Consider the following 12,834-nt stretch of genomic DNA (forward strand, 5'->3'; position numbering starts at 1 on the left):
CAATCTCGGCTCACTGTAACTTCCGCCTCCCAGGTTCAAGCAATTCTCTTGCCTCAGCCTTCCAAGTAGCTGGGATTACAGGAACCCGCCACCACACCCAGCTAATTATTCTTTTTTGTTTTGTTTAGAGATGGAGGCTTGCTCTGTCACCAGGCTGGAGTGCAGTGGCACGATCTCAGCTCACGGCAACCTCCACCTCCCAGGGGTTCAAGCAATTCTCCTGCCTCAGCCTTCCTAGTAGCTGGGACTACAGGCACGTGCCACCACGCCCAGCTAATTTTTGTATTTTTAGTAGAGATGGGGTTTCACCATGTTGGCCAGGATGGTCTCGATCTCTTGACCTCATGATCTGCCCGCCTCGGCCTCCCAAAGTGCTGGGATTACAGGCGTGAGCCACCGCGCCCGGCCCCTAGAAAGTCTTTAATCATGATGGTATATTCACTTTTCCACACAGGACCACATGGCAACCCCTGCACATCTGACTCCCTGGGTGATGCCATCAGACACCCCCATCCAGGCAGAACTGACTGCTTAAAAAAATAACAGGCACAAGAAACATTTGAAAGAAAGTTTTCAAAATAGAATCTGAAGAGGAGGGCCACTCCATCTGAGTTCCCACGTCATCCTGGGTGTATCCGGCGGGCTCTGGGGTGACAAGCCTGTCTCTGGGTGTCGGTGCTCATGGCCACAGCGGCCCTCACTCCAGGCGGGAGCAAAGGGGCCAGCTCGAGGCTGCCACTTGCCCTCAGGGCTCAACAGGCCCCGGACACATGAAACCTGGGGCTGCGTTACGAGTCTGACCCAGGATTCTGCCACGCGTGTGCTTCCTGCAATGTGGTGAGGAGACCTTTGGACCCACAGCTGGGTCTCATATGCTTTCAGTTTTGCCACCTTCAGTAATTTCAGAAACAGGCACATTTCTGAGTATGCTCTGAAATCAAGATATAAACTGCTGGAAAGTGTGGAAAATGTCCATGTGGCAGAGCTTCTGAGCTGTGAAGTTACTGTAGAGGCCAACAGGGAAACACCTTAAATGGACATAATCACTGGAGAACAGAGCAGCCCAACTGATCAGAACGAACTTTCCCTTTGGCTCCTCCTTCCGGAAAAGGGGGCCTCCACAGGCACGCAGGCCCAGAGCGGTGCCCTCCATGGTGGGGTGCTCATCCCAGGGGCACCGGATTTCCATGCGGTATCTTTAGACCTGACCAGCACCGACGAGTAGCCCAGGCACCTTGTTCTGTCTGTATCAACCCTCACAAAATGGACAGTGGGATTAGGGAGGAGCCTGCAGAGAAACTTAGAGGACACCCAAAGCCAACACCCAAAAATGCAAGAGTCCAAGCTAGCACATGGCAGAGCAACCCTTCCACACCTGGCTCAAGGGACCCCAGAGATGAGTGCTGATGACCTGCTCACTGCTGATGAAAAACTACCCAAACATTTAAAAATATGAAGACTGCTTCAAATACGAGTTTATACCCATGATTACTAGTGAAGAACTTTGCCCTAACTGTACACTGTGCTTTGAAACGACTGATAATAGAATACAGCTACTGCTTCACCTTTAAGCCTCTCAGATTTTTCTATTTTTATGCATGTTTTTAATGTACAAGATCCACCAGCCCCTTAGTGCATGTGCGCAACACATGAAAAGGCACAGCTCCACAGTCGGGAGGTGCTCACACACCAACTGGCAGGAGGTGTGAAGATGCTCTGCAGGGCACCTTCCTTTCCCACCCTGGCTGACACTGATGGTCTCTGCCTGCTCGTCACAACAGACCAACACAGCTAAGGAATTCTTCAAAGTTCTGGAGGTGGTAGTTTCCACTCTAAAGAAAAAAGGCCAGGCCAGGCACAGTGGCTCACACCTATAATCCCAGAACTTTGGGAGGCTGAAGTGGGAGGACTGCTTGGGTCCAGGAGTTCGAGACCAGCCTGGGCAACATAGTGAGACCCCATCTCTACAAAAAATACAAGAATTAGCTGGGCGTGGTGGTACACGTCTGTGGTCCCAGCTACTCAGGAGGCTGTGGCAGCGGAATCGCTTAAGCCCAGAAGTCAAGGCTGCAGTGAGCTGCGATGAGCCTCGAGTTTTAGAAAGTCAACACAATCCAAGCTATAATTTGGGGGGATTTAAAACATATTTCTATAGGTTTGGAGCAGATGTGCGAGGCCGACGTACCTTTCACCTGCTTCACGCTCCTGAGGGCGTACTTCAAGGTGGCCAGCGTACTGGCCTTGCCCTTGGCCTTCTTGTCTGCAGGGAGGTGGACCTTCAGCTCCTTTAGTGTTTTTATCAGTTCTTTGTGTGTGTCCACTTTCGAAGACTGGTCGCTACTGCAGGATTCAAGAAAGAGGCAGCCAAATGTTAGCTTCCTAGGTGTCCTTTCCTGAAGAAACGTGCCTCTTGCCCATTTTCTCAGCCTCGGCTCTAGAGATGTTCTGGTCTGGGTGGCCCTTTGTGGGGCTCTGTAGATTTTCTCAGCCTCGGCTCTAGAGATGTTCTGGTCTGGGTGGCCCTTTGTGGGGCTCTGTAGATTTTCTCAGCCTCGGCTCTAGAGATGTTCTGGTCTGGGTGGCCCTTTGTGGGGCTCTGTAGATTTTCTCAGCCTCGGCTCTAGAGATGTTCTGGTCTGGGTGGCCCTTGGTGGGGCTCTGTAGGACATCTAGCAGCATCCCTGGCCTCACCCACAATAGACCAGGGAGACCCTGGCCAAGTATGACAATCAGAGCTGTCAACAGACATTGCCAGATGTTTCTCGCTGGGAGACAAATTGTTCCTGGTCAAGAGTCACCGCTCTAACCCAACTGAATGCTGGAGAAGTCCCTCCAACTGTGTTCTTTTCCCTGAAGGGTTAGAGCTAGGCTTTGCTCAGGAAAGGATACTGGTCGACCCATAGTCTGGTGCAGTGGACTGTGCACTAAGCTGTGCCCTTCTTCCCTGCCCCAGGTAAAGAAGGACTGAGTGATGGGATTACAGAGGACAGCAAAGTGACTTCCTGGGACATAAAAGTGAGCCATGAACACAGAGAAAAGGGGATTGTGGAAAAGGGTCTTCAAACATTAATTGAGGATACAGAGATGTTAGAGAGACAGGACAGCGGGGCACTGGCTGATGAAGATGGGCCTGTGTGGAACAGAGGGTGCAGAAGGAATGATGGAAATCAAGGTTTCTCAGGCAATGCAAAGTGCCCACATGCCCTGGACAAGGAGCCGGGTTCTGCTCCCGAGGTGACATGAAAATTGACATAGGGTAAGTTTGTTACAAACACCTACGAAGGGTGAAGAATGTTCCAGATGAAAATGCCCAAGACTCAGGCAAAGTCGGCTTCGAGTAGAGCTGGGAGGAGCTACAGGTACTGGAGCGACATCCCGGGGGCTCTGGACGGTGAGGGGACACAGTCAGTGTCTGAAAGGCCAGAGTGAGGCTGGGTTCGTACCCACATAGCCACACAGATGGGTTTTAGCACAGCTTAAAAAAAGCCACGTCACTCCCAGAAAACTAACCTCCAATAAGAAGTCTTTCAATTTCTCTAAAACCTCTATGTATGAAGTTCTAATTGGCCTTACCTGCAGCCACTTGTAGATGGGTTGTGTTCAGATTTTGCCATCATCAGGCTAAAGGTATCTGGACTATGAAAACAAAAAATAAAAGCAAAATTTAGACAATTGTATGCTCCAGACACATCTTCCCCTGCCATCCTACCAGTGATAACAGGCTAGATAATACCATGGTAAGACAATTTTTTAAAAATACAAGGTTAAGATAAAACTGGAATATAAAACCTTCAGACATCAGAAAAACTAAGTACCAGGACACAGAAACACATGATAACAGGAGCCAGTTCCTTTTCTATAAACTGCCCAGTGTTGTATAAGCAGCCACTGGCTGGGTTACCCACCACTGCTACCTCCCAAGATCTCCTTACACTACCCAGTACCTGTCTGTTGGCAACTGGATCTGCGAACTCGACAGGGCCTCGTTATGAGGAAGGACAGACACTGGCACATTTTAGGTATTTTCAAAAATCTTGAAAAACTTGGTAATCATGATTTAAAGATTGCAAAAGCAATCAAATCACAGCAGAAATGAGCCACTGAGAAAACAACCTGCCCAGCCTCCATCTGGCCAGAGGCTGAACTCACCTCTGGCGGGCATCCGGTGGCTCCACCAGCATCCCCAGCTCCTTCCCACTGTCGTCACAGTCACTGCCCTGCGAGTCCCGCCCCGTGGAGCAGTTTTCGTTGGTCTCATGTCCACTGGAGCCACTGCTCATGTCCACATCTTCCTGCAGTGGGACCTGGCTGGGCTGGGGCTCCACGGGCTCCTTGGTGGGGTTACTGGGGCTGGGCGGAAATTCCGCGTATCCATTCATGCTGGGCTCTGGAACGAAGCTGGCAAACAGAGGGATGCTGTCACGCATTAACAAGCACACGCACAAGGGGCGCTGCAGCCATCAGGTAGAGCACCCATTTGACTCTTTCTGTTACTAATGAAACTGCAGTCTCTTTCTTTCTTCTCTCTGTCTCTCTCTCTCTCTCTTTCTTTCTTTCTACTTTGGAGACAGGGTCTGGCTCTGTTGCCCAGGGAATGCAGTGCCTGGGCTCAAGCGATCCTCCCACCTCAGCCTCCAGGGTAGCTGGAACCACAGGCACTCACCACCATGCCTGGTTAATTTTTTGTATTTTTGGTAGAGACAGGGTTTTGCCATGTTGCCCAGACTGGTCTCGAACTCCTGAAGTCAAGCGATCTGCCCGCCTCAGCCTCCCAAAATGTTGAGATTACAGGCCAACCACACGCAGCCAAAACTGCCCTTTCATCGGGATCAATCACACGCACGTTAGTTCATCACATTACTTATTTGTTCTTATTGACAAGAGCTCCTATCTGCCATGGATTAGGAAGATGGTTGAATGAGGCAGCCTCAGCCCGACATAGAGCTGCTGACGGCCTCATCAGAAGGCAGACAAGAGCACTGATAATCAACACCCGGCCTGTGGGGTGCTGGGAAAAACACATGGTCCCTCTGAATAGGTGATCTGCCTTTTATAAATTTCCCCAGATGATGGTGGGGTGGGGGAGCCGGGTTCAGAAATCTTGGCCATTACAGCACGGCACAGTTACAGGAGGAGGAGCCAAGGCTAGCAGGAGACATGGGGACAGACAGGGCTTGCCGGGTAAAGAGGGCAGAGGGGCCTGGCAGGTGTGGAACCCTCCCAGCAGCTCGGGGATCCCAGGCCCCACAAGCATGTACAAGTGGGATGGAGAGGGGCCAGGACAATGTGGCTTCACATTTACTGGGAATGGTTGGGAGCTGCTGAGGCACTCTGAGTGCCAGGCCCACGGAACTCAGCTTGCATTTGGACAGGCTTGCACTGCTGTGCTGGTCAGAAACTTAACCTCTGCACTTTGGGGTAGGTGGGTGGAGTGGCTGAAATTAGAGACAGACCAGCGATCATCCTGGACACAAACTGAGGGGGGGTGAACAGAGACAGGGAGTAGGGAGGGGTGGGACTGATTAGCAGGTGAGAGGCCAAAATGCCATCCCGGGTCCTCCCTTCTTCACCCAGTGATGTCTCCCCATCCCCAGGACAGCGTTTTCAGCAGAGTCCCAGCAGGAAGCAGGCACCCACTCAAGCGGGGCACTGGAGAGAGCCAGATGAAGGCCCTGCTTGACACAAGTGGTCATGCTTAATGAACACAGCTGTGAGGCTCTGGGGTGATGCTGCTGACTACAGACATGATGCTAAGCACCCAACACACAGCTTCCCAGCAACTCTGGATCACGGTCTACATGGTGCGCAGGAGATCGTTCTACGGAGCAGCCAACAGGGGTGGGTAGCTCACCCCAGGCCACACAGTAGCAGATGACAGCCCTGGATTCCAGGCCTGCCGGCATCTGAAGATGGGACCCCCACCCTACACCCAGGCTCAGCTGTGTGGGGGCCTCCTGCTTCCTGCCACTGCACTGTGCTCAGCCCCAACTCTGGCCCAGTGTGGCATTCCACTTCTGCATGGCATCCGTTTGGCCCTTCCCAGGGCAGCTGGAACAAAGGGAGAGAAGGGTTTCTGGATTCCACACCCCAAATCTTGTGAAACATCTTATGCTCCAGTTCCCATCTAGCTCTGGGAGAGCCTCCCCTTCCACCTCCTTCCCACCAGTACCCACGTGAAATGACCAAGGATCATACAATTGGTCGGGGGGAGGGATCATTTTCAGCAGCCCTAGAAGTCCCGAAGGGTCCCAATCATTTGCCACAAAGTGAAGGTGCGTCCGGCTGCTTGTCGCTGAGATGGAAGGAGCATGAAGAGTGCACTGGAGTCCAAATACCCCTGAGGAAGTGGCTAGTGCTGAGATCCCTGCTACCCCCGGCCATGGAAGGCCCAAGCCATGGCCAAGGCTGGACAGTCAAGAGCTCTACCACCAGGAAGATGCTTCGTGAGGAAGCTGTGGGAGAAGAACGGACACAGGAACAGAAATCCTGTGGGAAGGAGAGGTTCTCCTGGAGACGCTTCACCCACTGAACACCCCCAGGTGCCCTCCCCAACAGGGCAACTCTAAGAAAGGGCTAGAAACCAGCCAGCAATACTGAGGGCTACACATACAGGGTGCCGGATTCCAACAGCTGGCCCCAGGAACTGAATGGCTAAGCTCCAACAAGAGCCTTCAGCATCCCCTTCCCCAGGTCGAGCCCATTCGCCGGTGAGCCACTCCAGGACAGCCTGGTGAGAGGCGGGGCTCATGGAGAATCCACCCACATCAGTGTCTGGAGAACAGCAGGGCCGACTAGACCTCGCCTTGTTCACAAACTAATAAACAGAAGAAAGCCAACACGGGGCTGTGGAAAACACACACAGCAAAGACAACTGAACACAACCCTCATGCCACAGAGGAAGCAGCAAATTAAGACACCATCTACTTTTCATCCTAAGAATTCAAGAAATGATGGATTCAATGAAACAAGTAATGAGGGATGAGATAAGGCCACTGACTGAGATGAAAATGCCACATTAGAATGGAAAACTAGAAAGGACAAAGTTCAGAATCAATAAAAAGAAAATGGCTTCAGTGATAGGAGATGCGTGACAGACTTTTAAAATGCAAAGGGAAAGGAGAAGAGAAGAGAGATGGAGGACAGCCGGGTTTTACCTGTGGATTACAGCTCTTTCTGAAAGAGACGAGAACAATAAAACAGAAACCATAATGAGCGAGACACATAAAGAGAACCATCCTGAACCAGAGACAGATCTGAATCTGCCAATCAAAGGACAAGAGTCCAACGCCTAAGTGCATCCAGATGACAAACGGTATCTTCAAGGATAAAGAAAGTCCTACCAACATCCACAGAGAACAAACAAGTTACCCATAAAGGATGAAAAAAAAATCACACTAGTCTTGGATATCTCTTCAGCAATATTACATTTCCAGAAGACAATGTTTACACTTTTTTTTTTTTTTTTGAGAGGGAGTCTTGCTCTGTCACCAGGCTGGAGTGCAGTGGCGCAATCTCGGCTCATGGCAACCTCCGCCTCCTGGGTTCAAGCAATTCTCCTGCCTCAGCCTCCCAAGTAGCTGGGATTACAGGTGTCCGCCACCACGCCCAGCTAATTTTTGTATTTTTAGTAGAGATGGGGTTTCACCATGCTGGCCAGGATGGTCTTGATCTCTTGACCTCGTGATCTGCCCACCTCGGCCTCCCAAAGTGCTGGGATTACAGGCGTGAGCCACCAGGCCCGGCCGTCTACATATATTAATAGCTTTGAGAGGAAAAGCTTATGGTCAAAGGGAGGAAATCTCAATTACAGGATACTTGATTGTGGGTTACATAGCTGGTTTTATCAACATCCTGAGTCACATAAAACCCAAAATGCCAGCATCATTCCCCTTAAAGTCAGGAACAAAATAAGCAAATCTGTTATTCTAGTCTTTTTTCTTTATTTTACATTTAATGGCAGTTCTAGCAAATTCAATGAAAGATGAATGGTAATACCTTTTGGGAACAGAGAGACTAAGCAAGAAGACTGCCTAGGCCATTCCCACAAAGAGAGACACCAAAAGATTTGTGAACTTGTAGAAAGAGGCTCAACCTCATTAGCATCAGGAAAATGCAAAGGACGAGGTTATCTTGCCCATCAGGTTGCCAAAAATTAACAGGACTGATCACACTCAGCGTTGCTCAGGTGGAGAAGAGTGGCTCTTGTGTGTGGTGGTGTAGTAATAGGGTATTTCTGGAGAGAAATTTGAGTTCCCAGCAACATTTATAATCTGCATACTCTTCCCACCTCCAGGAATCCATTGCAGAGAAGTGCTTATTTATGTGCTCAGAGATGTGTGAGCACTGAATATAAAAACCTGGGAAGAACCATCAACAGGGAGGCTACGCATCCTGTCCACGATCATCCTGGCCAGGAGCCAGCCTCCAATTCCAGACTGGTCCCCTGCCTCCACCTGGCCCTGCTATGGTTAACACAGCATCTAGAGCGATCCTGGTGAAGGGGCTTAGCTTACGCCCGGCCCGTGCTCAGACCCTTGCTCAGAGCACAATTCTAGTGTGCACAAGGGCCAAAGGCTCTGCAAGTCTAGCTCCTGCAATCTCCTGGGCATGTCCTGTTAACTGCCCACCCCTCAGCCCCAGCCCTGTGTGCTCTGACCACAGAGACTCTGCACTTGCTGCTCCCTCGTGCCCACAGCCCTCTTCTTGCAGATGCCTGGGCAGCCTGCATGAACAGCACCGTCTCCCCACCAGCTCCTTCTCTGTGCCTCCACCGCCGCTCTGTGGGCTTTCCTCGCCAGCACTGAGGGGCTGGGCTGTTTACTGCCTGCCTCCCCTCTGGGACCTAAGCTCCATGGGGGCAGGGGTTTGCGTTGGTCAATGCTGGATCCCCAGGGCCTGGCACGTACTGTTGAAGACACAAACCTGGGACATCCATACTATGAATACTATACACCCACTAAAAGGATAGAGGCCAGAAAGACTGATGTGGGGAGAGTCTCAGACATAGATGAACAAGTCCAAGAACAATAAATAACAACAACAATAAAAAGGACAGATGGCACTCAGGCAGGGCCTGCCCGGTGCCAGCAGTTTCCCACTGACTGACTTGCCCTTATTCGCTTAGCACTGAGGGCTGGCACTGGGGCAGACAACAGAGCAGACATCTTTCCTGCCCTCAGGGAGCTTACATTAGGGGGAAACAGACAATAAACAAGAAACTAGAATATACAGTAGAGTAGGCAACTAGCAAGTGGGAATTGAGGGGCTGGGAGTGACATTTCAATGAGGGTGGCCCCAGGTGTAGGTGGCATTTGACAAGGACCTTGCGCACGAGCCCTCGTGTGTGAACTGACTCAGGGTCCCTGGGCTTCGCTCTCTCAGGCTTGCAGCCACGTGCTTCAGCAGGTCTTTCTGGCTTCACACCTGAGGCTGGCACTGGGCATCTCTGGCTCTGCCTGCCCTGTGTGGACTCGGATGACGTGCCACACCACTGTGGGGGCCCTTGCTGCTCCTCACTGTCCTGCCTGCTGCCAAAGGGTCTGATGAGGCAGCTGGATAGGAGGGAGAGCTCGCTTGCTGGACAGGAGGCAAGGAGGAGCTGGCAGAAAATGCCCCCTCCCTCTCTCCCTCAAATGGACCTTTCTGAAGTTGTCTTTCTTTCCTTCCTTCCTGTTTTGGCACAGCCTTTCTGAAGAGGTCCCAAGGGGGTGAGCACCCAGCTGGATGTCTCTGTAAGGCAGAGCCTCATCTCAGCAGGGTGTCGTCTTGTGTGTGCTTTCCAGACTTTTCTTCCTTACCTCCCTTTTCCTTTTCTACTGCTACCCTGGGACTGCAATTCCCAGTAAAGTGCTCACCTCAGACTCCATTCTCAAGAGAGCCTGAAGGCAGACCTGAAGAGAGTGGAGAGTGAGCTACCAGAGGAAGAACATTCTAGGCAGGGGGACAGCACACACAAAGGCCCTGCGGCAGGCAAGCACCTGACCTGTCTGAGGAAGGTGCACGAGGCTGGAGCAGAGCGGGCAGCGGTAGGAGGGCGGCAGCAAGGCCAGATCACGGAGTGCCTTGCGGGGGCAGTCAGAACTCCGATAGGGAACTGTGGAGAGTTCTGTGCAACAAGATCTCACTTACACTTCAATGGAGTTGCAGGGTTGAGGCAAGGTGGAAGCAAGGAGACCTCTCAGGGTGCTCTTGCCATGGTTCAGTGGAGCTGCCAAGGGGCCGCCCAGGGTACCAAGGGCATTCTCTCACTCCTGACCCCTCAACACCCTGGACACCACCCATCTCATCCCCACAGCCCTCCCCCAGATAAGCAGCTGGTCCTTTCTGCTCTGAGTGAGTCATTAAGGTGATCAGAGGCAGCAGCAGAGTGGTTAAGGGCACAGGTCCTGGGTGGCCTGGGTTTCAGCTGGGTTCCACCACCTCCTATGTGATCTCGGACAAGTTCCTTAACCTCCCTGAGCCTTGTGTCCTCATTTGTGAGATGGGGTAACAGTAGTTCCTGCCTCCTACTGGTTGTTAGAAGGATTAAATGACACAACCCATGCAAGATATCTGGAATGTAATATTAGCTTATCACTGCTAATCACTACAGAAAAACAGACGGCGGCTGGGCGCGGTGGCTCACACCTGTAATCCCAGCATTTTGGGAGGCTGAGGCGGTGGATCACCCGAGGTCAGGAGTTCGCAACCAGCCAGACCAATATGGTGAAACCCGTCTCTACTAAAAATACAAAAATTAGCCAGGCGTCATGGTGTGTGCCTGTAGTCCCAGCTACCTGGGAGGCTGAGACAGGAGAATTGCTTGAACCCAGGAGGTGGAGGCTGCAGTAAGCCAAGATTGCACCACTGCACTCCAACCTGGGCAACAGAGCAAGACTCTATCTCAAAAAAAAAAAAAAAAGAGAGAGAAAACGAAAAAGAAAAACAGATGGGCAACAAACGTAATTTTGGAAGAGAGAGAATGAATTGTCATGGCAGCTGTCTCTGGCTTGTATTCTTATATTTAAAGGACTAAGAACTCAGTGCCACCTCCAGCCCAGGCAGTCCTTAGAGGAGCATCAGGTATCTGAAGCCACCATGCTGTCTGGGCCCCGGGTGCTTTGCACGTAGCTCTCCTGGTTTTCACCCCTAAGTCCATCCCCTGTAAGCCTGTCTAAATACGATTCACTGGTGCCCCGACATTACCTTAGGTGGAAGATAAGTATTTTTGCAAAGAGGGTAGAGTAAGCTTGGCAGAAATGTGAAAGCCAAATTATCAGAAACTTCGTCATTCCAGAAAATGCGTCTCTCAGCCTCAGCGGCTCTAATAGACCAGCCTCATTTTGAGAAGCTGGCAAAACCAACGTCCCTGTCAAAGTGGACTTTGCCTCCTGCCCTCCACAGATGTGTGCCCATAGCCAGCTGGACCAGCTGTTCCTGGGGAGCTCCTAGGAAACCTGTTTCCACCTCAAGGCGGGTAGGGGGAGGGAGGGTGGGCATGCACTTATGTGCTCAGGGTACCAAAGCCCAGGAGGGAAAATGGCAGCCTGGTTGAAAAGGGGCTGCCAAAAGCCAACATGAGCCTCTGGGCGTGAACCTGCCCTTGAGGCCCTCTTTGCATGTCCGCCTACTGGCTCTGCCCCTAAGAACAGTCAGACTCAAAGAAAGAGGTTAAGCTCGGACCCCTGACCAGGTCACCTGGCCACATTTTTGGTAGCTGGGTTGCCTCAACTTGACAGAGCACCATTCAGAAAGTGCAGTCCACCACAAGAACAGAGAGCCTGGGATCAGGAGGAAAAGCAGCTGGTGGGGGTGGGGAAGGAGTGGGGCCAGGAGCAGAGACTACTGGCTGGTGGGGTCGCATGGGTTCGTTACCCTATCCTCCCCACTTTCAGAGATACTCATACTTTCCATAATAGTGTTTAAAAATTAGGAACGAAAGCAAGCCTGGGACCCAGTTCCAGCCTCCACTGCCACTGCCAGGACTGGTAAAGTCTTACTGTACTCAATACCTGCAAACCTAAGGCGGAAAAGCATTTTTTGTGGAAATCAGAAATCAGTGTTCAATCACCAGAGGAGTCCCACCTCATGAGGTCACAGCTTGATGTATATCCACAAACAACATGCCATGTCACATGTCACCAGAGGCAGGACAGTGCCAGCCCCCCAGAGGCTCCTGGTGGCCCTCCCAGCCACCATCTACCCCGCGGGGACTCACTAGCTTGGCTTCTTGCAGCCTAGTGAATTCTGCCTGTTTTCGAACTTTACATAATAGGGCTCATACAGCATGTACTGTCTCTGCAAGCCCTGCAGGATTTTACAACCCCAAATATTCTAACATGTTTTCTACTTCCTGGTAGGAGCCAACTCCCTGAGGCCAGCCTGCTGTAATCCTGAGAAAATGTTTGTCCTGCTAAATAAACAGCCGCACTCTCCATGGCAACGGTTGGGTAACTGAGGAAAATGTGACCGCAGCCATCCAAATATGGAGGGAAGGAGGTGCACCGGGGAGGCATTGTCTTGGCCTCACTAGGACACCTTCAATGATCTCAATTCAGACTTTTAAATCCCTACATTTTTAGAACTACAAGACTTTAAAGCAAATAAAGGCAAAAGTGTCAGCCTCCTAGCTCCCCGGTGGTCAGGGACTGAGCTACTCCGAATTGCAGGAAGCTCAGGCATCTGCTCCTCCTGTACCTGGTTTCTTAAAGAGTGGATTCTGATTCCTCTATGTCACCCCAGGAAGAGCACGAGGAACCCTTCGAGGCCGGTGAGGGTTCAGCACGGCAGCTCACTCTGTCTTGGGAACTACCAGTCTCTGAAAACCAAGTGGCCTTGACTCCTGTCACCAGTCAC

At 51.5% G+C, this 12,834-nt stretch overlaps 1 protein-coding gene across 5 annotated transcripts in view, besides 3 other annotated features; it reads right to left on the bottom strand.

The window, feature by feature from the left end:
* PER2 (period circadian regulator 2) overlaps positions 1–12,834 on the bottom strand; it is a 56,022-nt gene that overhangs the window by 29,514 nt on the left and 13,674 nt on the right. For all 5 annotated transcript variants that reach the window (XM_047446232.1, XM_047446231.1, XM_005246111.5 and 2 more), the window contains 3 exons: positions 4,150–4,398; positions 3,574–3,636; positions 2,186–2,340 (listed from right to left, as the gene is read on the bottom strand). In XM_047446232.1, the coding sequence (XP_047302188.1) occupies positions 2,186–2,340; positions 3,574–3,636; positions 4,150–4,379 (448 nt within the window). In that variant the 5' untranslated portion in view covers positions 4,380–4,398. The remainder of the gene's footprint in view (positions 1–2,185; positions 2,341–3,573; positions 3,637–4,149; positions 4,399–12,834) is intronic.
* Positions 5,760–6,384: an enhancer, noted in NCBI's record as "H3K4me1 hESC enhancer chr2:239187958-239188582 (GRCh37/hg19 assembly coordinates)". NCBI's record gives its function as "activates a minimal SCP1, AML or CMV promoter by ChIP-STARR-seq in naive H9 embryonic stem cells {active_cell/tissue: H9 hESC(naive)}" and the evidence as "EXISTENCE:reporter gene assay evidence [ECO:0000049][PMID:30033119]".
* Positions 8,699–9,199: an enhancer, noted in NCBI's record as "H3K4me1 hESC enhancer chr2:239190897-239191397 (GRCh37/hg19 assembly coordinates)". NCBI's record gives its function as "activates a minimal SCP1, AML or CMV promoter by ChIP-STARR-seq in naive H9 embryonic stem cells {active_cell/tissue: H9 hESC(naive)}" and the evidence as "EXISTENCE:reporter gene assay evidence [ECO:0000049][PMID:30033119]".
* Positions 10,047–10,546: an enhancer, noted in NCBI's record as "H3K4me1 hESC enhancer chr2:239192245-239192744 (GRCh37/hg19 assembly coordinates)". NCBI's record gives its function as "activates a minimal SCP1, AML or CMV promoter by ChIP-STARR-seq in primed H9 embryonic stem cells {active_cell/tissue: H9 hESC(primed)}" and the evidence as "EXISTENCE:reporter gene assay evidence [ECO:0000049][PMID:30033119]".

Source organism: Homo sapiens, chromosome 2 (assembly GCF_000001405.40).
Source record: "Homo sapiens chromosome 2, GRCh38.p14 Primary Assembly".
NCBI lineage: Eukaryota > Metazoa > Chordata > Mammalia > Primates > Hominidae > Homo > Homo sapiens.